This window comes from Homo sapiens, chromosome 4, assembly GCF_000001405.40.
Source record: "Homo sapiens chromosome 4, GRCh38.p14 Primary Assembly".
NCBI lineage: Eukaryota > Metazoa > Chordata > Mammalia > Primates > Hominidae > Homo > Homo sapiens.
The window spans coordinates 174917091-174941190 of NC_000004.12; the positions used below are offsets into that span (position 1 = coordinate 174917091).

General features: G+C 35.4%; 1 protein-coding gene across 12 annotated transcripts in view; it reads left to right on the top strand.

Moving 5' to 3' along the window:
- Positions 1-1267: 1267 nt before the first annotated feature.
- The window catches only part of ADAM29 (ADAM metallopeptidase domain 29), a 59823-nt gene continuing 36990 nt past the window's right edge, over positions 1268-24100 (top strand). For 5 of the 12 annotated variants that reach the window (NM_001278126.1, XM_011531557.2, XM_011531556.2 and 2 more), the window contains exons 1-4: positions 1268-1381; positions 3597-3702; positions 13896-14084; positions 19843-19923. The gene's annotated coding sequence lies outside the window, so the exon portion shown is untranslated. Of the gene's footprint in view, positions 1382-1839; positions 1901-3596; positions 3703-13895; positions 14085-19842; positions 19924-24100 lie in introns of all 12 variants that reach the window. The other 7 variants (XM_011531560.2, XM_011531561.2, NM_001130703.1 and 4 more) reach the window with 5 other exon arrangements.

A 24100-nucleotide genomic window follows, 5' to 3' on the forward strand; every position in this document is an offset into this window, starting at 1 on the left:
AATAATCAAATAAATTAATTGATGAAGAAAGGGAAAAGCTTCTTTACAAATGGTGAATGTAGAAGAATGGCAGAAATAACAAGTCAACAGGTCTGAAAATATCTCCCCAAAATATTTATTAAGTACTATGGTAGTTGAAACATATGCCTGTAAATTCTCTGATACTCCTCTCTCCATGGTGGAGCTTGAGGGTGGGTTAGATTTGTTAAGAAGCTTCTAATGAATAGAGCAGGAAAAGAGACAAAAGGCAGCTTTCCAGTGGAGAAATCTATCAGTCGCTAACTTAGCCATGGTGTCAAAGTAAGCCATCTCCAATAACAAATCATGTTGATATCAAGTTTCCCTGACATATTAGAAAAAGGCTTTAAATGATATTCTTCACAAAATCCATACCTCAGTTGCACTGTGAGAACCACAGAAACCCATATCAAGGGCCATTCTACAAAATACCTTCCAAAGTATATTGGTAATGAACAACAAGGAAAAACTGACAAACTGTCACAAACTGGAGGAAACTAAGGGGATACGATGACTTAGTAATGTGGTAACCTGGACTGGATCCTGGAAATGAAAAAAAAATTAGGGGAAAATACAGGCAAATCCTAATGAAGTCTGTAACTTAGTTAATAGTATTATACCAATGGTAATTTTTTACTTTTAATAAATGTATCATGGTTATTCAAGATGTTAACATTAGGGGAAGCTAGATGAAGCATATATGAAAACTCTACAAGCTTTGCAACTCTTCTTTAAGGATTTAATCATTAAAAAATTAAAAATAAATGAAAAAAACAGCTGCAACAATGGTCTATACGTTGAGAATTTCAAAAAGATGCTGTTTACTTTGGGATTCAAGTAAAAACACTATAGTTGTTAAACCCTAGAGTACTCTTGAAAAAGACGGTTTTGTACACTTTAAACTGAAAGAGTATAGGAAAAATAATTTCACTCTTACAGCTAGGAAACAAAAGGGAACAAATACAAATGGGATAATTATTGAAGTTTCTGCAAGGGGGAATAAATCGCTCAATGTCCCTTCATTGCATAAAGGCAAAGTTCTCTAATTATTAAAGAAAAAAACCTCAACATTTTGATTGATAGGCCCTGTGACATCTGTCATACATCTTGACATTGTTACCTAACTTCTCCCTGGGACTGAATAACTATCAGGTGCCGGGTACCGCTAATAAACCTCAAACACTTTGCATGCCCCAGTGCATAACTGTCGCCCTCAGACTCTTAATTGAGAAACATTCTTTCCTCCTTTGTGACATCACATCCACTAACCAAATGGGGTGGTGTGAGTATCTCCTATAAAATAAAAGCTCTCCTGATGGCCTGTTCCTGCACATTTCCTGAGGACGCCCTCGATCACAAGCAGGTTATAGCTATTTAAACCTTGCCTTACCTGTACTCTTTACACAAATTGAAGGTCAAAGAAGTAGTCATACTTCTGGGCATAGATTAAACTGATTTTGTAATACTGTTTAGGCTGAACCTATCAGTTTCAGACTAAACCCTCCAAATATCTGCCCAAACTTGCCCCATACCCTCTAAAACCAAGGCCTAACAAAGCACTAAAATCAATAGATGAAAACCTAATTGAGAAATGAATCATGAAACTTTGTACTATTCCTTGTAGTACTTCTCTAAATTTAAAAAAAAGAAAAAGAAAAAAAAACACAGGGCAGTGATATAAATTTGTTCAGAATCTCAGGAGTATAAATTGAATAATGATCTCCCACTTCTCTGTAGTAACAAATTCAAATATTATTTTGTCTTTGGTGCATAATGAAATTGCATATTTTACAGCTGTAAATCTGTTTTCTGTTCCTTTAGAATCTGTTTAATTCAGAGTCATATGTTTGCTTTCTTCTGAGAAATTCGATAACGTACACTGGTAATTATGACTTAGGGCTTATTGAGATATTGTCTTAATTTTTAAAAGTCTTTAACCAGGGCCTCAAGGAACTTACATTTCCCTATATTCTACCATACTTTGTGGCATTCTAAAGTTTAGCTGAGCTCTAGGACTGACTCCATCCATCTAATTACTTGTTTTATCTCTAATAGTCTATAAACTTTCTGATGGGGACTAAAATTTTTTCTCAAAGTAAAGTGTATCATCTGAAGCATAATATATCCCAAGGAGGTAAATTTCTCTTTTCTGAAAGATCATAACCATTCAGAATTTTTCTAGTTAGTAACCAGGAGATTTTAGAGATGATTCTTTGGGTCTCATTCACTATAGCCAACAATGGGTTTCCAAATGTATTCATTTTCTGTGGCTAGATATTAAATTAGCACAGAGTTAGGCGCAAAAAGCAACACACATTTATCACACCACAGTTTCTGTGGATGAGGAGTTTGGGTAAGGCTTAACTAGGTCCTTTGTTCAGGGTCTCACAAGCCGAAATCAAGGCATTAGCCACGTTGCAGTTCTCTTCTGGAGCTCAAAGTTCTCTTCCAAGCTCATTAATGTTGGTAGAATTTAGTTACTTGTGGTTGTAGCATCAAGGTCCTCTCCTTTTAGAGGCTCCCCCTCTTTACTGGCAGCTTTCAATACAGCTGTTTCTCTTTAAGGCTAGCTAGAGATTCTTTTGCTTTTATGGCTTTCACCTGATTAAGTCAGTGCCCATCCAGAATAATGTCCCTTTTGAGTCAAAGTCAACTAATTAGAGATCTCAGTTACAGCGGCAAAACCCTTTCACCTTTTCTGTGTTACATAATCCAATCACTCAAGTGACATTTATCATATTCAAAGATCCTACTTATATTCAAGGGAGAGGGTTATACAAGAACATGCACATCTGGGCATTTTAGGAGTCATTTTCTTATTCTGTCTGCCACGTTGACTTTCAGAAATTGACACAATACTGTATCACTTAACCAAATCTTTGTTAATCAAATCTCTTATCTGAGAATTTATGCATATATAGGCATTTCATGCTTTAAAAATTAGCCCTTCAACAACCTCTCATTATGAGCCTGCGTCATCATGAATCATGTTACCTATTCATACATAAAAGATCTGAACAAGTCAAATATCTCTTCCATCTCAACAAACCAGTATCATGCAACTATTTTTCTACTAACCCAATGTCAAAATCCTACTTTCCTAAGCTGAAAGCAGAAGTTGAAACTTGATGGAGGCTTCTACTAACAGTTTTACTTTCTACCTTAAACTTAATGGTTCCCTATTTTGCCAGTCTTTGCTGCCCATTAAAAGTATGCAATATTTCCTAAGAAAGTAGGCTTACTTTCTAAAATTGAATTACTTTCTTCTTTCCATGTTTCTGTTCATCACTGTAATACTTTAAATACTATTAATCTTCTTCCATTAGAAGAGGGAAGCTCATGGCCCCCTAACCACTGCTTCCTGAATATCTAGTAAATTTATTAAAACACGCTAATAAATTAATTAAAGCATGCCCAGAAATCCAGATTTAATCTTGATTTGTTTGTAGGTCATATCCTAAGAATGAAACCAGAAAATATCAGGCAGAAAACACTGGAACAAATTTTAACTCACCATTTTGACCCCTTTCCAGAAATGAAAATATTCTTAGATAACATAATTGTTTCCATTCCCATAGCTTGCTGGATGAATAAAGGAAAGAAGGTTTATATACACTAATAATAGAAATGTTTTGGGATGGTTCATGATTTCGAAAAGCTTCAGAGAAAATAAAGATGCTTAATGTAAGTATCTTTGCAGTAAGATAATGTAATTATCTTACATTATCCATAATTTAGAATGGTTAGCAGATTAAAAGTATTTTAATAACTCTAATGGTTCCTAAGAAGTTGACTATTATCAAGGTGGATATCAGTTCAAAAAGGGACATCATCAAAGCAAAAGAAAATGTCGATTGATCATTACACCAATGGGTAGTTCTCACCAAGATCTCTAACCCACAACACTCAGAGACTACATCTTTGAAGAAGTTCAAAGAGAATATTATACTATGCCAGTCTTTGGTTCTACAGTAAGAAAACTAGAATAATAAGCACAATGGAATTGTCACCAGAAAGTATAAACAAGATGAGTATAAACAAAATTTATAAACAAGATGTAAACAAACACGTTTTTAAAAACCTGTATTTATGAAAACAGTCAATCAACTCAAATGTTACATACAATTTTTCAACAAGAGAAATAAAAGCTATAATATGAAAATCACCTCTGGCCCACTTAGAGTGGCTTCTGGTGGCCCCAAGTGAAGTCTTCTTAAAAAGGCATGTGACATTACGCACACATGTAGGACAAACTGGCCTCTGTACTCAACCAACATCAGTGAGAAAATGAATTTCATTTCCTGTTGCTGGACTACTCTTTATGCATGGTGCCAAAGAATTATAATATTATCTGACAAACCCATATGGGCATTTTGGCCAAAACCAGATCATTGAATGGTCCCCAACAACCAATTTCCAGATGGACGCACAAAAGCCTACTGCCTATTATCCAAAAAGTGAACAGGAATATGTTACCATGTTAAACTGATATCCACCTTAAGGATAGTGGCTAACAATGTCAACTCACATATATTTTGATCCATCAGTTTCCCGTCTCAGTAAAAGATTAATATGCTTTCTTTGTATGTTTTACATAAATTGAATCATTTTTAAAAGCTTTACTAAATATGTAATATATGGAAGGTGTATTATTAACTGCTACAGGAAATACCTGTGGGAATAAGTTGTGTGTGTGTGCACATGTATACACACATACATGTGTGGTTAAATTTCAAAATTTCTTCCAAGCTATAGGTAAATTTTCAAATGACTTTTATTTTCGTATGTAGTTCAAAATGTGGAATGATAAGATAAAGAAATGATACTTTAGGAAGCCAGACTTATCAGGTATTATAACAATTAATTTAAAGTTCAAACTCAATTGAAATCACTCTATTGAGTCTCCAACTACTAAATTAGTTAATGATTCTTTTTAACCTTTGGGATCTTGGTTTGATGGAAGTGAATATAAGTATCAAAATTCCTTAAATATTTCCAATATGAAGACAAGTTTAAATCATATATAAAATTCAAATAAAGGTCTGTCACCAGGAACATTAATAAGCATAATGTAACTGTCACTATAAAGTCTTAATAAACAAGTTGTAAACAAAATACAATTTTTAAAAACTGTGTTGATGACAATAGCTTATCAACTTGAATGTTACATACACTCTTTCAACAAGAGAAAAAAGCTGAGCAAACTGAAATCAATGAATTTTATTGGACCCATTAGAGAACTGAAGTCATAGAGCAAATCATCATCCTGAAATCTGGAGACAGGCAAATACAGAGGGTCATAACTGGAGTCTGCTTATTTGGAGCAGAAGTTTCCAAAGCCATAAACTGGTAGTAACATTTATAAGGTAATTCTTCTGAACTGCTGAAGCTTTTTGATGAGGCTGAGTTTCAATCAGCACGAGCATAAGAAACTCAGAGGTACCATTTATGGAGGCTTCCATACTTTGGTGGGTTTTTACTTCTAGGAACCCCACCAACTTATCATTGTGAAGAGGTAAGAGAGAGACCCTCACGGCTGTGACAGTGGGTAGAGAAAGTTACCATTTGAAATATTTGAAACCATTTTTATTTTATTTTTATAAAATAAATATTTTTATCCTAAAAAATATTTATTCTGTTAGTTATTTTATCCCCCCACTATCACATTCTTGTGATAATCACATCTTTTAAATCTGTAAGCAATGTTATCTTTTAATATAATCTTTGAAATATAATCTTCGAAATCTCACAAAAATTTATATTTTATAATTCACCGTGAATAGCAAAGCCAAAAGAATAACCCACTATTTCCTATACTCAAACATGTTACACATCAACCCAAAAGAAAAAAGACACGAAACCAAAACCAAGGAAACACATATGCTTAGTTAGGAGTTAAAGTTACTCAAGCTCTCCAAATAAAACATACAAATTATTAGCATTAATTAATTATTATTATTTTTTTGAGATGCAGTCTCACTCTGTTGCCTAGGCTGGAGTGCAGTGGTGCGATCTCGGCTCACTGCAACCTCCACTTCCCGAGTTCAGGTGATTCTCCTGGCTCAGCCTCCCCTTGTAACTGGGATTACAGGTCTGCGCCACCACACCTGGCTAATTTTTGTATTTTTAGTATAGACGGGATTTCACCATGTTGGCCAGGCTGATCTCCAACTCCTGACATCCTGATCCACCCACCTCGGACTCCCAAAGTGCTGGGATTACAGTCATGAGCCACCGTGCTTGGCCTAATTTAATACAATTATAACTTAAATGGCCACTTTGTCATTGACAATGATTGCTTGAGCACAGGGTGAGTGCCCCATAAGCTGTTAGGAGCTGTTTCTTCAGATCAATGTCTCCTCTCTGCACTGCCAGCTCCTACCTGTGCATCATCCCCTATATACTGTGCATTATATGTATATATATATATATATATATATATATATATATATACACACACACATATATATCTTTAAAAAATATTTTCCACCACACATACTTCCTTTCATTAATCAGATAACAGGGAAGAACAACAACAAAATCTGAACAAGCCGATCACTTTCTCTTTGGGATATGATTTTTTTCCTTGTGCATGAAGTATTCAGCAACAACATAAGAAAGGGAAAAGAAGAACCATTTCTTGTGTATACTCCCTAAACACACAAGCCTAGTCCACTGGGTGGGATATAACTGTATTTATATGCCTACCTCCAGGCATGGTCACTTGATGTTTCACTACTACTGGTTGCTGTGTCTAAGTTCTCACACTCTGCTTGACAAGTGCTTCTTTAAGGGGATAACAGGCTAGAACTGCAGCTCTGCAAGAAGTCATTCTTCCCAAGGCCACTTCTTCTCAGCTTCTCTGTCTTCATGAATTCTTTGAGCTCAATCTTCTGTGAGAAGAAGGCAGTTGTCTTCATTTTCAGGATAGAAGACACTGTTAAGAGAATGAACAGAGTAGTCACAGACTGAGGGAAATATGCAAAAATACAAAAGAAATTACTTTATTGTAAATCATACCTAACACTCAACAATAATAGTACAGACAACTCAATTAAAAAATGAGCAAAAGATCTGACAGACATGTCATCAAAGAACATGTACAGATAGCAAATAAGCATAGGAAAATTTTATCAAAACATTTGTCTTTAGGAAATTGCAAATTAAGACAAAATGCTGCTACATACTTGTTAAAGAGGTTAAAATTTAAAAAATTGGACAATACCAATATGTGGTAAGGATGCAGTGCAACAGGAACTCTCATTCACTGCTAGTTTTGGAAGACAGCTTGGGAGTTTCTTACAAAGTTAGAGATAGTCTTACCTCAACATCCAGAAATTATACTCTTGAATATTAATGCAACTGACTTGAAAACTTATGTCTACACAAAAACCTGCATGTCAATGTATATAGCAGCTTTATTCATAATCATCAGAAAGTGTAAGTCACAAGATAGCCTTCAGTATGCTAATGAATAAACAAACTACGACATATCAATACAATGGATACTGTTTAGTGATAAAAAGAAATGAACCATTAAGCAATGAAAAGACATGGATGAACCTGAAGTGCATAATAGTAGGTGAAAAAAGCCAGTCTGAAAAGGCTACATGGTATATCATTTCAGTTATATGAGATTTTAGAAAGGCAGTAAAAAGACCATTAAAAGACTATTGTATGTTAGGAGTCTGGAGAAGCATAATTCTCCACTTCTTCCATGTGGGCTATGCAAGTTGACACCCTTTCAAAGGCTACAGTGTGGACAATGGAAAAAGTAACTTTACATTAGAGAAATGGACAAATCTACCTAAGCCCGATGATGAAGGCCAACATTAACTGTGACAAGGAATGTCGATAGCAGTTGCCTTGATATGATAAAAGGCACTTTCCCTTTGTGGCCTTCCAAATATGTATAAATTATTCTAACCATCAAACACTAATTGAGGGACATTCAACAAAATACCTTCCCAGTACTCCTCAAGATTGTCAAAGTCATTAAAAACAAGGAAAGGGCAAAACTGCAATAGCCAAAGAAGCTGAAAAAGACATGACTAATTGTGATGTGGTGTCCTGGATGGGACCTTGGAATCACAAACAGACATTAGCAAAAAATTAAGGAAATCTGACAAAAGGCATGGATTTAATAACGAGGTGTTAATATTGGTTCTTTCATTGTGAAACATGTATTATATAATGTAAGATGTTTCTAATAGGAGAAAGTGGGTATGGAGATACATGAAACTCTGTGCTATCTTTGCATTTTTTTTTTCTGTAAATTAAAACGGTTTTAAAAAACAAAGTTTATATTAAAAATATTTAAAATGTCATGACCATCTGCCTCTTGTCATATAGCCATGCCTCCATGGCTAAGACATATAGGAGTAATTAAATGGTTCTTTTATTAAAGAAAGGAAGAAAGGAAATATCTTACAATGTGATAGAGGAAGTCACTTTAAACTATGCAGTTTTCCCTTTCAGAACCGTCCAATTCAAATGTTCTCTGACAGAATTTGTTTACATTATTAATTCTGAGAGTCTTGATAACTCTTATACTTGAGCCAAAATTAAAATGCCAGGAGAAGTATCCATTTCAAAGGGAAAAGGAAGTGGCTACCCACGTAGTTTCGTAAAGACTTGTGCTCCTGAGAAACAAAGAAGTGAACCAGACAGAAGATAAAATGCTAGATGAAAATTGATGATAATAATTGCTTGAGAAGGCTTAGAAAAATAGAAAATCACAGTGGGCACTTTCTGTTTTCCTTGCTTGCTGAAAGACAAATAGAAACAAAGTATCAGGTACAGATGCTTCTGATATGGGATCACACAATAACAACACTGCTTCAGACACACTCTAATGAAAGTCAGCTTTCTTTCAAATCATTTTAAAAAAAATTGTATCCTTTATTTCCTATTTTGTGTAAAAAAAGGAGTATGGATCTTTATACAGATAGAGTGAAGTGGAGATTTGCAAAACCACTGAAGTATTTTAAAGATTGTAAAATAATCATAATAACAATTATGTATTGAATAAGAATGGTAGTCACTGCCCTAAATATTTAACCTGGTTTATCGTATTTAACTTCCCAAACCACTGTATGAGGTAGACATTACTATTATCATTCCCATTTTACAAAAGAAAAAACCGTATCGATAACGCTTCAAATTGATGCTCAGACCACTTCCCTGCCTTCCGGTCATAAGCACACAAGTTTACTTAGCCTAAAGAAACTTCTCCTAGTTGTCAATATGATTAAATTATATAAATATTATTTAATTATCTCAAGTTCTGAAAATAAGATATATTTAACTATGAAGATTTAATAAGGCAAAAGTATAAGGACAGATGAGTTATGTTTTCCATTAAAATACTAGTTTTTAAACTCAGAGTATTGACACTCTAAAACAATGTTAAAAACAAGCTGACCGGGGAGGATTGCTTGAGGCTAGGAGTTCGAGACCAGCTTGGGCAGCATAATGAGACTCCATCTTAATAAATACATTAAAAACCATTAGGGAGTGTCGTGGTGCAAGCCTATAATCCCTGCTACTCAGGAGGCTGAGCCATGATCACACCACTGCTCTCCAGCCTAGGTGACAGAGCAAGACCATGTCCAAAAAAAAAAAAAAAAATGAAACATAACAACAAAACATAACACTGTTTCCCCAGTTTCAATTTCTATTATATAAAAATCCTCATTTGCAGTTTTACAATGCTATCTATATGGCTACCACCTTTTCATTAAATAGTTCTATTGTCTTTATGAACTCTCTCTGACTTGCATTTGGCATATATTGAGAACTCTTAAAATTCAGTAAAATATACAAAAAACAATACAAACTAGGCAAAATATTTCAGCAGACATTCCACCGAAGAATATACATAAATGTCAAATATACTTATCAAAGATACTCAGTATCATTAGTCATTAGTGAAATGCAAATTAAACTCAACTAGATACCACAACAAATCTCTTAGAGTGGCTAAGAAATACTCAAAATACCAAGTGCTAGCAAGAATGCAGACAAACTGGAACATTCAAACACAGGTGTTAGGAAATAGTACAGCCCATTTGAACTATTTGACAGTTCATTATACACTCGCTATCAAACCAGCCACTCTACTTTTAGGTGTTTGCCCAACTAAAAACTTATGTTTACGCAAAAACCTGCATATCAATATTTATAGTAGCTTACACCTGTTGGTGCAATAGTAATTGTGTTTTTTTTTAAACAGCATTACTTTCAATGGTAAAAACTGCAATTACTTTTGCACCAAACTAATATAAAACAATTTGGGGAGAACTGGCACCTTTACTATGTTGAATGTTCTAATCTATCTGTATTTGATTTTAAAAAATTTCCCTTATTAACATTTTGTAGTTTTCACCACGTCAATTCTGTACATGTTTTGTTATATTACTATCTAAGTAGTAAATTTTCTTTGGAATGATTGCAAATGGTAGTTGAGTTTTAATTTCAATTTCTAAATATTCCTTGTTTGCATACAAATTGTGATTAAGTTTTGTCTGTTGATCTTGTAACCTGCAGCCTTGGTGAACTCACTTATTGGTTCTAGGAGTATTTTATAATATATTTATAGGGCTAGTCTACACACCACCTGTTATGGCGAGGTCCCTCTTGCTGGTTGGTGCACAGCTACCTGGGTATTCCTGGATGTGGGAGTGGGGTTTCAGGATAAGCCTGGTGGGAGAGTGCTTCTACTGGCCCCTCTATGTTTACTGGGTCCTGATTGATTCCTCTTGCTGGTGGAATCTTGCTTGGTATTATTGGAGGGACATGCATTTGATCCAAGGGAGACTTAATCCTTTCTGAGCCACCTTCTTTTGCTAGATTATGGGCTGGGAAACACTTGGCCTGTGTGGCCTTCTTCTGTTTGGTGGGGGAATATAAGACAAACTGCCATTATAATTTGGCTTTCCTCCAGTCCTAGGATTCCAAATCAGTTTGTCTTCCTCTTCCCTGCTTAAAACGTTTTCCCTAAGGGTATACAAAAACCTTCATTTTCTGGATTTTACCTGTAAGGGATAATTGGAAGGACAGCTGAGTTCAGGCAAGCTGATTTATTATCAGTCCTGCCGGGCTACCTCCTGATAAAAGCAGAGGAGGCAGCCCTGCTTTCAGACCATTGCATGGCTTTACAAGGCGAGGAACAGGGTCAGGGTGGGGGAGCTGAGATGGGTGTGCAGGTGTCTTGACCGCATCCTGGAGATGTTTTTTGCCAGCTTTGTTATGCAAGGTGAACAGACATGTCAACCGCATCCTGTAACTGACTGGTTAGTTACTGGAGGGGTCAGTGAAGGGGGGTTTGTCTTTAGCCCTGGGGGAGCTGTGCGGATGTCACAAACGACTGCATTGTAAGACCCATGGGAAGGGAGGGGGAACAGTCTGGTTGGGGTGACCCTAACATTACCTATCTCTACAAATTCCCTGTCATGTGCTTAAAAAAAAAAAAGACACCAGCCAGAGTTGACAGGCAAAGACAATTGCAGAGGGAGGCAAGACTATTGCAATAGGGGAGAGAGACTAAATTTAACTCCCCTGAAACAAAAGATGGGACAGTTTTTAATGACAAAGTACTAGAGAACTTTGCAGGGAGGTTGGTAAACATGATTCGGCCATCTGTGTTTGCTAATACGTGCTTATCTAAGTTAAGCTCCTACATTTCTATAGAGACTGGATGAAGGCACTCCATCTTTCTTGGTGTATACTTTTCAAAAGGATGACTCTCAGGACCTGGAGAAAGACATTCCTAGTCTGTAAAACTTGCAAGAGAAGATTTACATCTCTAAGCTGCAGCGAAAGAATTTACAATTTTAACTTTTCTAAAGTAACTGCTCTAAGAAAAGAGAGATCAAGGGCCTAGAGTCAGGAAGAAACTTGTCTGAAGTTGAGTCAGGTTCAGGGGAACTTCTAAGGCTGCCTTGGTCAGTGCCAGATGACTTAAAATTTCCGGAATGCCATCTGCTAATTTGCACTTTCTTGTTTTTGCACATGTTGGTTTCTCTGTAAAATATCCTCTCCTCTTTGTTTTCCTGACAGTTTCCTTATTTTGTTTCAATAATCTGTTCAATCTTTACCTCTTCTGTGAGGTACACTCCTGGTTACTCCATATCAGTTGATAAGGCACATTTTGTACCACCTTTTTGAAGCATAATGTTGACTTTCTTTAGAAAGCATATTCTGATGCTTTCAAAAAGACCCAGCCACCTCTTTTTGATCACTTTGTAAAACATAAAATGTCTTTTTGTTACAGGACTTTTCATTAGTTCAGCTCAAGATGAGGTCCTTATCACACAGCTACGAAAATTTAGGCTAGCGGACGATTTGAGGAGTGAAAAAAATGGAAAAGGGGGGAAACACAGACTCTCCACAAAGGCAGAGTCCCTGCTGGTGCGCTTCCCGCCTCGCAGTTTGAATCCCAGGTTCCACACAGGAAGAGGAGGGGCTAAGCTCCTCCCTGCTGCAAAACCCACAGGAACTTCCTGAGTTTCCACCCCAGTGCCCAAGGCCAGCTGGAGTTTTTATGGGGAGTCCTTCCCACTTGTCTGCCTCATTTTTGTATAGGATTTACATAATTTCATTGTTTATACATCTCTCCTTCACTCTATCTCTCACATCTCTCTCTCTTTTTTTTTTTTTTCAGTTGAGACAGACTCTCACTCTGTTGCCCAGGCTGGAGTGCAGTGGCGCGATCTCAGCTCACTGCAATCTCTGTCTCCTGGGTTCAAGCGATTCTTCTGTCTCACCCTCCCAAGGAACTGCAATTACAGGCGCATGCTACGACACCTGGCTAATTTTTGTTTGTTAGTTTGTTTTTGGGACAGAGCCTCAGTCTGTCGCCCAGGCTGGAGTGCAGTGGCCTGATCTCTGCTCACTGCAACCTCTGCCTCCCGGGTTCACTCCATTCTCCTGCCTCAGCCTCCCGAGTAGCTGGGACTACAGGCGCCTGCCACCATGCCCGGCTCATTTTTTGTATTTTTAGTAGAGACGGGGTTTCACCATGTTAGCCAGGATGGTCTCGATCTCCTGACCTCAAGTAATCTGCCCACTTCGGCCTCCCAAAGTGCTGGGATTATAGGCGTGAGCCACCGCTCCCAGCCTCTCTCATATATATCTATATATGAAACTCTATCCCCACTCATGATGTAAAGCTTGAAGCTAAGTAAGCACTCAAAAATACTTTAAATTGAATAATTAAAGCAATTTTCACATTGTGTTAAAATTTTAATAATATGTCTCTTCATTCTTGTCTCTGAGTAACTTGAGTTCATTCATCTTGTGAAAAAGGCCCTAGCACCTTGTCTGGCAGCTGCTTACTGATTATTTAATGAACAAATGGATGAGTAATAATAATTTATAAAGCAAAATTATTTTTCCAGAAAAGTAACAATTTTGTATCAAAACTTGGAATGTCATATTAAAGTCCTTAAAAATTAAATTTACTTAAGAATTAAAAGCCTCAGATTTTATGTTTAAAAGGTAACTATGTCTTTTTTCCTTCAACTATTAATTTTGTTTTTCACAAATGGCCAACTCTTTTTTTTAAATGACTCCTTTTCTCCTAGAATCAGAAATTGTACTTTGAAAATATACTCTAGATTTAACAATTCAAATAGCCCACTAACACTGACAATTTTGATGTAAAAGAATGATTTTCTTCTGGGAAATTTTATATTTATGCATTTAAATTTCTCTTGATTGTTTTTCCATGTACTTCAGAAAGCTGTGAATTTTTTTTTCAGCCTTCCACTTTTGTGTGTAGTTATCAAGTTTTAGCTCATCAAACTGCTGAATTTAAGCTTTATCTGTCTAATTAATATTCTTCAGCAGTTCACAGTCTTCATTTCTCATTTCAGGTTAGAGTACAAAACATTCTCCCTGCAGTCTCACGAACTGTGAACAAAAACTGAAGTGAAAACTCATAGTGCATAACTCGTCAATACTCCTGTGATCGTATAACCATCAGCAAGAAAACAAATTTGATTGAGCCCCCATCCAGTCCTCTTTGCGTGGAATCAGACCTCTTTTGCAGTGGAAAGGAGCAGGTAAAACAAATAAGCAGAGGCACAAAATCATCACCAAACCAGACTCACTGAAATGCCAACACTGGCATGTGCGCAGACATTTTCTATTCTGGACTTACTTCTAAACAGCAATGCCAACAAGCATGAGAGGTGAAAAAATGTGGATAAATACATGTTTGGTTTATTGAACTAGGTCTTATCATATCCAAATTAAAAACAAAAGGCACATCTCAATTTCAAAATAAGGTTCTGAATTTTAATTCTCAGATTCATTGAATTTCTTTTTGATTCAAAATTCAAACTCTTCTATCGAATATATCCTTTAGATAAATTGTCTCCCAAACTCAGCAGCAGATTCTCCCTTTTTCTTGTAGCCACATGAATCTATATATTTTCCCGACCAGAGTCTCCATATATATTGTTGATAGAAACATAACTTTCTATTAACAAAAATTGTTTATGCATATCTACTAATTTCTTACATTGTATTTCCACCAACCAAACATAACCAAGATCACACATATATTCAATCTTACACTGAGAATACCTTAAAAGCTAATATTTTAAACTTTGTAATTAATTCTGTTTGTCTCTATTTTCATTTAAAAAAAATCTCTCTCGTTAGTACCTACCATAATTTATACCCAGTCTCTCTCTCTCTGTCACACACACACACACACACAAGCACACATACACACAGTGAGAGGGAGAGTGGGAGAGACTGTTTTGAATGTTTTGGTTAATTAACTATAATGTATTTTTCTCATTTGTATTTTATTTAAATTTTCATATTTACTTTCATTGAAATGAAATATTTTTCCACATTTATTTTTATTGAAATGACAATACATGAGGCCAGGCAAGGTGGCTAACACCTGTAATACCAGCACTTTGGGAGGGCAAGGCAGGTAGATCACTTGAGGTCAGGATTTCGAGACCAGCCTGATTAACATGGTGAAAACCAGCTCTACTAAAAATACAAAATTAGCTAGGTGTGGTGGCACATACCCGTAATCCCAGCTACTCGAGAGGCTGAGGCAGGAGAATCACTTGAACCTGGGAGGTGGAGGTTGCAGTGAGCCAAGATCATGCCATTGCATTCCAGCCTGGGTGACAAGAATGAAACTCTGTCTCAAAAAAGAAGAAAAAAAAAGGAATGACAATATATGAAGTTTTCCTGAATGGGGAGAAAGTATAATCAGAGAGTAAAGATGTAACAATTCTTAGTTTATAACTTCAAATATTAGGATCTAGTGGTAAGCTACCTCAGTCTATTTGGGCTGCTATAACCAAGTCTGTATCCTCACATGGTAGCAAGGAAGGCCTCACAAGCTCCCTCAGGCCTCTTTTACAAAGACATTAATCCCATTCATAGGGCCACAGCCCATAGGACCCAATCACTCCCAAAGGCCACACCTCTTAATATTATCACATTGGGGTTTAAGTTTCAACATATGAATTTTGGGGGACACATACATTCAGACCATAGCATAAGCCAAGTAAGGATTTTGAGTGATCTTTTAGGAAGTGGGACTATTTTTTCCCATCCTTCTTTTCCCCTTTGTCCAAACTAAATGAAAATTTTGCAGTGAAAAAAGGGGAAAGTCTGAGGAGGAAACCAAAGGGCTAGACACTAATGAGATCTGGGAAAGCAGTTCTTTCGTCTCAAAATTAGCCACAGTATGGAACGATGAAAAGAAAGGATGTCAGGAATCAAAGAATAGATAAGACTTATTGTGTGTTCATACCTGATCATCTAGGAAACCTAAAAATCTCCCCAAATCTCCTAGGGCCAGGAACATGGATTTGGAACGTCCTCACAGATAGGTCCCATGTGATTTGGTCAGATAAGAGGAGCAATCTCACATTTCCTTAACTGGCAGAGAGTGGAAGTTAAGGAACAGAAAGCAAACGGCTCTGAGGATGTTTTGTAATTGTGATTAGAAGAATCTAGAGAATAAATTAGATTGGACCATAAAGTTAGTGAGCAGAATGGGGTCTGGGATAACAAAAAGCTCTCTGCCTGAAAGTGTGGAGAATAGGATCCCAGCAGAGGACAGAGCACATCCACAGGGCAGGGGCTTTGCTCCTTCCTCACTATATATAGTGGTCATACAACCTCTTAGAAAAGAAAATTCTAGAGAGAAGTGAAAGAGAAACTTCTCGAGCTCCCTAAGTGTAAATTTGAAGTGACAAAGAATACTGAAATAATTGAGTTTAACTTGAATTGTTTATGACTATCTAACATGAGGTGGAAAAGGAGCTTTTGTGATATGTTAAATCATAGAAAAGTCAAGAAGTTACATGCCTACCAAGCTCTATTTAAAAAAAAAACTTTTAGGTTCAGGGGTACACGAGCATGTTTGCTATATAGGTAAACATATGTCACAGGAGTTTGTTGTACAGAATATTTCTTCGCCCAGGTATTAAGCCTAGTACCCAATAGTTATTTCTCCTAATCCTCTTCCTCCTCCTTTCCTCCATCCTCAAGGAGACCCCAATGTCTATTGTTCCCTCTTTGTGTCCATATGTTCTCATCCTTAAGCTCCAACTTATAATTGAGAACATGCAGTATTTGGTTTTCTGTTTCTGTGTTAGTTTGCTAAGGATGATGGCCTCCAGCTCCATCCATGTTCCTGCAAAAGACATTATCTCTTTCTTTTTTATGCCTGCACAGTATTCCATGGTGCACATGTACCTCATTTTCTTCATCCAGTTTACCATTGATGGCATTTAGGTTAATTCTGTGTCTCTACTATTGTGAATAGCGCTGCAATGAACATAGGTGTTCTTGTGTCTTTATAGGAGAATGATTTATATTCCTCTGGGGTATACCCAGTAATATGATTGCTAGGTTGAACGGTGCTTCTGTTTTTAGCTCTTTGAGGAGTTGCCACACTGCTTTCCACAATAGTTGAACTAATTTACATTCCCACCAACAGTGTTCCCTTTTCTCTGCAACATCACCAGCATCTGTTATTTTTTGACTTTTTAATAATAGCCATTCTGACTGGTGTGAGATGGTATCTCATTGTGTTTTTGATTTGCATTTCTCTAATGATCAGTCATATTGAGCTTTTTTTCATATGACAAGTCTATTTTTAAGTATCATTAGTGAACTAATTATGAAGTTTATTACCTTATATTTCTCTTTGATATACCAGCATTATTATGATATAATGCATATATCATAAAGTTTGTAGTTTCTCATTTGCTGATAATTTCAGTATCAGAAATCTCAAAGAGTTTTAATTTTAATCTCTATTTTCTCCATATTTACCATTTTCTTTCTTTGTATTTTTATTTCTATTTTTTAATGTATAATCTTATTGTTCAAAACACTTGGGTTTTTCTAGTGTCAATTGCAATCATAATCTTAACTGATACAAATTTTAACGCTGATATTGCAGTTTAATTTTCTATAACCAAAACTCTTCTTTTTCAATTCATCTTATTATTTTTTCACTATGAGCCACATGTCTGTTGTGATATTTAAAAGTAACATATCAGAGCTTCATCCCCAGAGATTCTGACTCAGATCTGGGGTTTCCCATCTTCCGCAGGAGATGCTGATGCACGGATGGAATTGAAAACCGCTGTTGTAGTTAACTTTTCAGGGTCTGTCAGTCTTTTGTCTAGTGAGTCTGTTCATCTGAAATGGGACCTTCAATTTGGCCCACAGCTAACTTTTCTGATATTATAATTAGATGCAAAAAGATAGGTTAAAAGAGATATAAACAATTCTCTAGTCCCTTAGAAAGCTGTGAACTAAAGCAAAATTAATACTTTTAGTTCATATTATATTACCTGAATGGATAGAAAGAAAAATGGATACACAGATGATAGATAGATACATAATCAATAGAGATAAAGACATAGTACATATTATTGTAACTGTGTTCATATATTATAGGCATCAAAGCTATGAAGAGCGTGAGCTGCCAGTGTTATAAATTTTTTACCGAAATACCCTAGTTTTACAATTGAGGAGCCCTTGTTTGGAAAACCAGTTAACTTCCTTAGATAAGATCTCTCTGTTGTCAGTTCTCAAATAAAATAAAGTTATATAACAATAGAAGGGTCTACATATAATACAGGATATGTCATTAGAAATGCATTGAATTCTTATCAAATTTCAAGGTACCTTCCCATGTGGAATTCAGAATTTATTGTTAGATTAAAATATGTAAATAAGAAAAACAACATAAACTCAATAAGCCCATGTATACACAGGACACTTTTGGGACACTATGAGGTTTGGGACCACAGGGAACCATTCTCAGAGATCTTCATCAAGTTAAAATGTTCTATTTTAAAGTAAACCTACTACCCCATTCATAGTGAACGTCTAGTAAGATTTTTTTGCTTGTTTATTTTGTTTTTTGTTTTGCCTTTTTCTGCTTTCTGATACAGTTGAGGCTTAGGTATTTAGGAAGCAATATAAAAATTATCCATATTTACGAAATAGGCAAGTTAATCTGGTTGACTTAATCTATTTAGAAGTTTTGATTCAATAGATTCCCAGTGCTGCAGTCCTACCATTTACTCTTTCCTTCAAATACTTAACACAGTATTTCACTTCATTATTCATTCAGCAATTATTGAAAAGGCTGTGTGTCTCTGTAAATAGAAAGATGTAGACTTCTGAGTCAGCAATTTGGGGTTTGCTCCTGGATTACATGAATTACTTATTTATGTGAAGGCTTAGTTTCTTCATTTGAAAAATGGGCACTTCTCCAACAAGTTTGCTTACGAGAATTATGTTTGCACTGGTAGAAACATAAAAAGTATGCCTCAGATATTAACTAAATAGAGTGACCATATAATTTACTGTCCAATCTGGATACTTTTGAGAACAAAAGGAGGTCAATATTAATAAGTACACTGGGACAACAGTTACAAATCACAACAGCCCAGGGCAAAATTGGGATTCAGGTCAATCTAATAAATAATGGCATTGTAGACCTTCAATAACAGCAATTCAGTCTCTTTCATTGTATTCCTCTGAGAGTAGATAGTTTAAATCCAGCAATCAACTTGCATTGCGGAAATTCTGTCTCTATAATATCAATGTAATTTCGACTTGAATTCCCAAATAAAAGCAAAAAGTGAAAGAAGTTTTTGAGCAGTTTTCTTTACCATGTAGAACAAAGAAAAGTGCCTAATTAAGATTTTGAAAGGTCAAAAGTTATTATTATTAATTTATCTTAATTTTTACTGAACGAAAATAAATTTGTTACTTATTTGACATTTTTTGGAACAACATTTTACGAAGTTTACTACTTTAGCAGAATATACCATTTCCTAAATTGACTTCCTTTATGTTCTATTACCACTGTAAACTTGCCCCCTCACTCCTCCCCTGCCCTGGCAACTCATTATAACTTTAAAAAGTTATTTTATTTTATTGATAAAACATTGCAGTTAAAAACTACCTATGTATTTGTTCTAAGTTGCTCCCACTTGTATTTGAATGGCAAGGATAAAATAAAGCCTCCTAAACGGTACTATTTTTTTCATTGTTATTCCACATTACAACTAAAATTTACCTTCTATTGAAGCATAAAGTTCATGTCATGTCACCAAAAAGACATGGGCATGATATCCTTATATATTTTTTTCAATTAAGCTCATATCACTAAGTGCTATCCTAGGAGGAAAAAATGATTTGGAGAGTGATCTCGTTCAGTTTAAAAGAGCATTTTTATGCCAATATAGAACAATGAGAATTTATCATCTGTGATAATATTTTAAATATAATGAGTTCCTCTTATTCCAGAGAATGTGACTTTCCTGAACAACAGGAGCAAGAATCAATGCCAGATTCTCTTCTCTAAAAATAATCAATTTGTTACTACAGGTAAATTAATTTCACTTTTTTCACTTCTTAGTACAAGGGGGTTTTAATTTCTATCACAATAAAACACACATTTTAAATAGATGCCGTGCTATACACATTGACACTTACTTGTTGCATTATGTAGAGAACCAGTAAAATCTTTACTCACAATTTGCCAATAATTTCCATAGAGCTTTCTTTCTCAATGAAAGAGGTCACTAATTCCTTCACTTCACATCCTAAAGCTAGAATGAATTGTGTCAAGCTGTTAGCCGTCTAGGCCACCAAAAAGAGTTACGCAAATGATGATGTATTCATTTATAAACACTCCTAGCTATTTTCTCAGCTATCATCAATTTTCCATTCTATTTTTAAAAATCATATTACTTTGATATATTTCTAAAGATTCTTACTGTTGAATCCTAAGTTATTTTACTCTTTTTCAGTTGTCAAAGTTCAAAAACATCTGACTTTTATATTGTGAAAAATAACCTTTTATAAACCTAAACATCTGTAGTCAGACCAGGCCATCTCTCCCATTTCATCAGGTGATTTCTCAACCAGAATTTCTATACCAAAAACTACAGTATTCTTTAAGGTTCTCAAACAGATCATATTTCCTTTCCTCTGAATGTCTTCATACATGCTGCTACCTCATTTCTTTACGTACCCTATTCGCCTGGCTAGTTCCTAAGCATTTCAAATTTCAGAGTATTTTTTTGTTTTCTCAGAAAGCATTTTCTGAGCCTCGGATTGAAGCAGTTGCTATTCCTTATCCAAATCACATTTTATACTTTTTCATATAAGAAGGATCTCAGAATAGCAATTAATTAGTGCCTGCCACACCACTTGAATAAGGTATTAAAACATTATGACAAATTGCAATGTTAAAAGCCAGGAGTGAAAGAAGCAAGTGATACAGGTTAGGGCAAGTTTTTCAGAAATTAATGATATTTCATTGTTTGTAGTCCAACAAAAGTGTGTTGGCAGCTGCATGGTCTCGTGACAATAATAGATATTAGAGATGATGAAAGATTTTCATGACTGCAGCTGAAGAATATGGGGAAATATTCCGACTAGCTATATCTGAAAAGACATTGGGGACAATAGATTATTTGAAGGGTCTCTAAATACAAATGAACATTTCAGCATGTGGATATGGCCACAAGGAAAATTCTAAGTGGAGATAACAAATAAGAAGGAAGATTTAAATATTAAAAAACCAAGAAATCTTGGGGCGGGGCAAGAAGTCTACTAGGTAGCATGAATTATGTGGAAGATATAAAACTACAGAATTTGGGGAAGTTAACTAAGGATGGAACAGAGAGAAATGGAATGGGAATGTGAAAATTCTGTTCCTAAGTCCAGTAATGCTACCCTAAACCAAAATATTAGAGAAGTAGATGAGCAATTGAGAAGACTTGAGAGTGAAGGGATGCATGGTGGATTTCTTAAGGTTTTATTTGTAATATCATTTTTATGAAGGAGGAGGAAAAACTTCTGTATATACAAAAGTGCTCTATGTTTCTCTCCTTTTTTAAATATTCAGACTTTGCTCAGGTTTCATAAAATAATGTTTTCATAAAATGTACAGCAAAACAAAGATAAACTTATACTACTCAGATGACCTTGTTTTAAGAGATGCTTGTGCCAAATATGAATTACAAGATGATCATGAGATCATCTGAATATCTTGACTGGGGCTCAGGATAAGAAAACAGGGGATTGTTGGTGTAATGTTTTATTAGGGCTGCCATTACAATCTCCACAAATTGGTGGCTTAAAACAACAGAATTTCATTCTCCCAAAATGTTGGAGTTGAAGAGTCCAAAATCCAGGTGTCGGCAGGGAAAAGCTCCCTCTGAAGAGACTCTGGGGCAGAATTCTTCCTTGAATCTTTGAGTTTTTGGTGGCTCAAGGAATTCCTTGGCTTGTGGCAGCATTACTGCAGTCTTTGTCTCCATCATTATATGGGTCTCCACGTGGCCTTCTCTATTATGTGACCATGTCTTCTCACCTTCTCCTTTCTGATAAAGGCACTTGTCACTAGATTTAGGGCACACAATAATCCAGGAAGATCTCATATCAAGGTCCTTAACTTACTTATCTGCAAAGAGTCTTTCTGCAAAGAGTCTTTCTTCCAAATAAGAGTACATTCACAGGTTCCTGGGGTTAGGACATGGGACATATCTTTTTGGGAGCCACCATCCAATCCACCACAGATAGTAGCACTTCTTTTTTGATCATAGTACTCATAAAGATATACTTTCTTTTCCATTTCCTTTTCTAAGAGCCCACATCAAAACACTGTCTAATTCATGAAGTACTGATGTCGGCTAAGAAGAGACTTTAATTACCTCCTCCAGAAATCATCTAGAATAAGGAATAGTCAAAGTTTTATTATTCTGGTTCGAATATTCTGAAAATAGGACAGAAAAATGAATCATCAAACAACTGGATATTTTCCCCTTTAATATTTCAAGTATAGATTTCACTCCAAGCCAGCATTTGCAAATAAATGCCATTTTTATTTTTAAACAATTTAGAAAATATTTTATCACATACCTTTGAGTGTAAATAATAAATGGGTTTTGGCAATTGTTCATTAGAATTGAGAGATGTAAAATAATTTATAATATTTCATTTTGAGTTACGTTCATCAATTGTTCACATTTCCTAAAATCAGGACCTCATGGAAAAAATAAAATTTACCTACAAAAGCTTAAAAGGCAGATCAGATTTCACAAGGATGGATTATCCAAATAAAAGACACAATACACCTTTAGATGGAAAGAAACAAACAAGCCTGAGGCTACCAAGTTTATAGTTAACTGGTGGAAAAATAGCCATTTTCTCACATGATTATCAGAAACACAAGACTGATCACAAGTCAGTGTTGCAAATTTTATGAATACAAACTTTCCTTTTTCTCCCTCTCTTCCTTCTACCCTCCCTCCCTTCCTCTCTCCTTCCTTCCTTTCCTCCCTACCTCCCTACCTTTCTCCATCCTTTCTTTCTTCCTTCCCCCCTTCTTTCCCTTTTATTGAGGAGTCAGAAACATATATAAAGGGTAGATTTTATATAGTTAGGGGTATATTTCAAGGCACACTGTTTTTGCTATTGTTTTTAATATCTCAGGGTAAAGTGGTTAGTTTTCTTCCAGGGCTGTGGGAAGTGAAGTAAGTGCATGATCACACCTCATGGTGGCAAAACAAGATACTAGTTTTGCTTTCTCAGTACCTCCTCTGGTCAAAGATTTGTTCACATCAGCTTATTTAGCTACTTTTAGACTTGGTATCATTAACATGAAGGTTTGCTTATTTAGAGTTATTTATGTAGATATAACATGAGATATTAATAGACAAAACCGCAATGTTAACATGATGACAGGCATATGATATTAAAACTTGAGGGTTAACATATGCCTATAGGGTCCATAAAGTCCCTAATGTTATAATTAAAACTACTTGTGTGAGTCAGAATTATTTTTACAGCCTTTATCTGCTTTTTTATACAGATCAGAAAAAAGAGCCACACAAAGTATTTTTCTCAGATTTCTTTGAAGCCTCTCTGACTTTTTTTCATACTAGGATCTTCTATTTTGCCAACATTCCTTGCCTATTTAAAAGTGATATTAATTATTTAGTGACATTAATTATGTATTCTAGAAGCACTTAATAGACATCACTTCACATGTGAAGTGGGGTCTTCTTGCTTAAAACAGGGCTTATAAGACCTATTTAAGTAATATTTGACTTTATATGTGACATTTTCAGCATGGTCATGATTATACATTCCATTTATCCAAGTAAAGCCAAATAAAAAAAGACAAATCTATTGACCTATGAAAATGATTATGCATTCATAACTAGTAAAGGGAATCAGTCAAGCCTTTTAGCATGGTGCATAACCATTGTTTTAAGTGGTGTCATACTCAAGAACAATAAATGTATGCCATTAGTTAGAAAATCATCATTAAGTTTTTATGATTAAGTTTCTATGTTTTAATCTGTAGAACAAACTTTTATATGGTTATTATTTATAAATTCAGGGGGTCAATTGAGATAAAATTCTATTTACCATGAATTTGATTTCCATTTGTACAAATAAGCCTGTTAAATTAAGGATTATAGATGGTATAAAAAAGAAGAAATTTCAAATTATTTAATTTCATTCTGGTCCACCTAATAATTCTTGT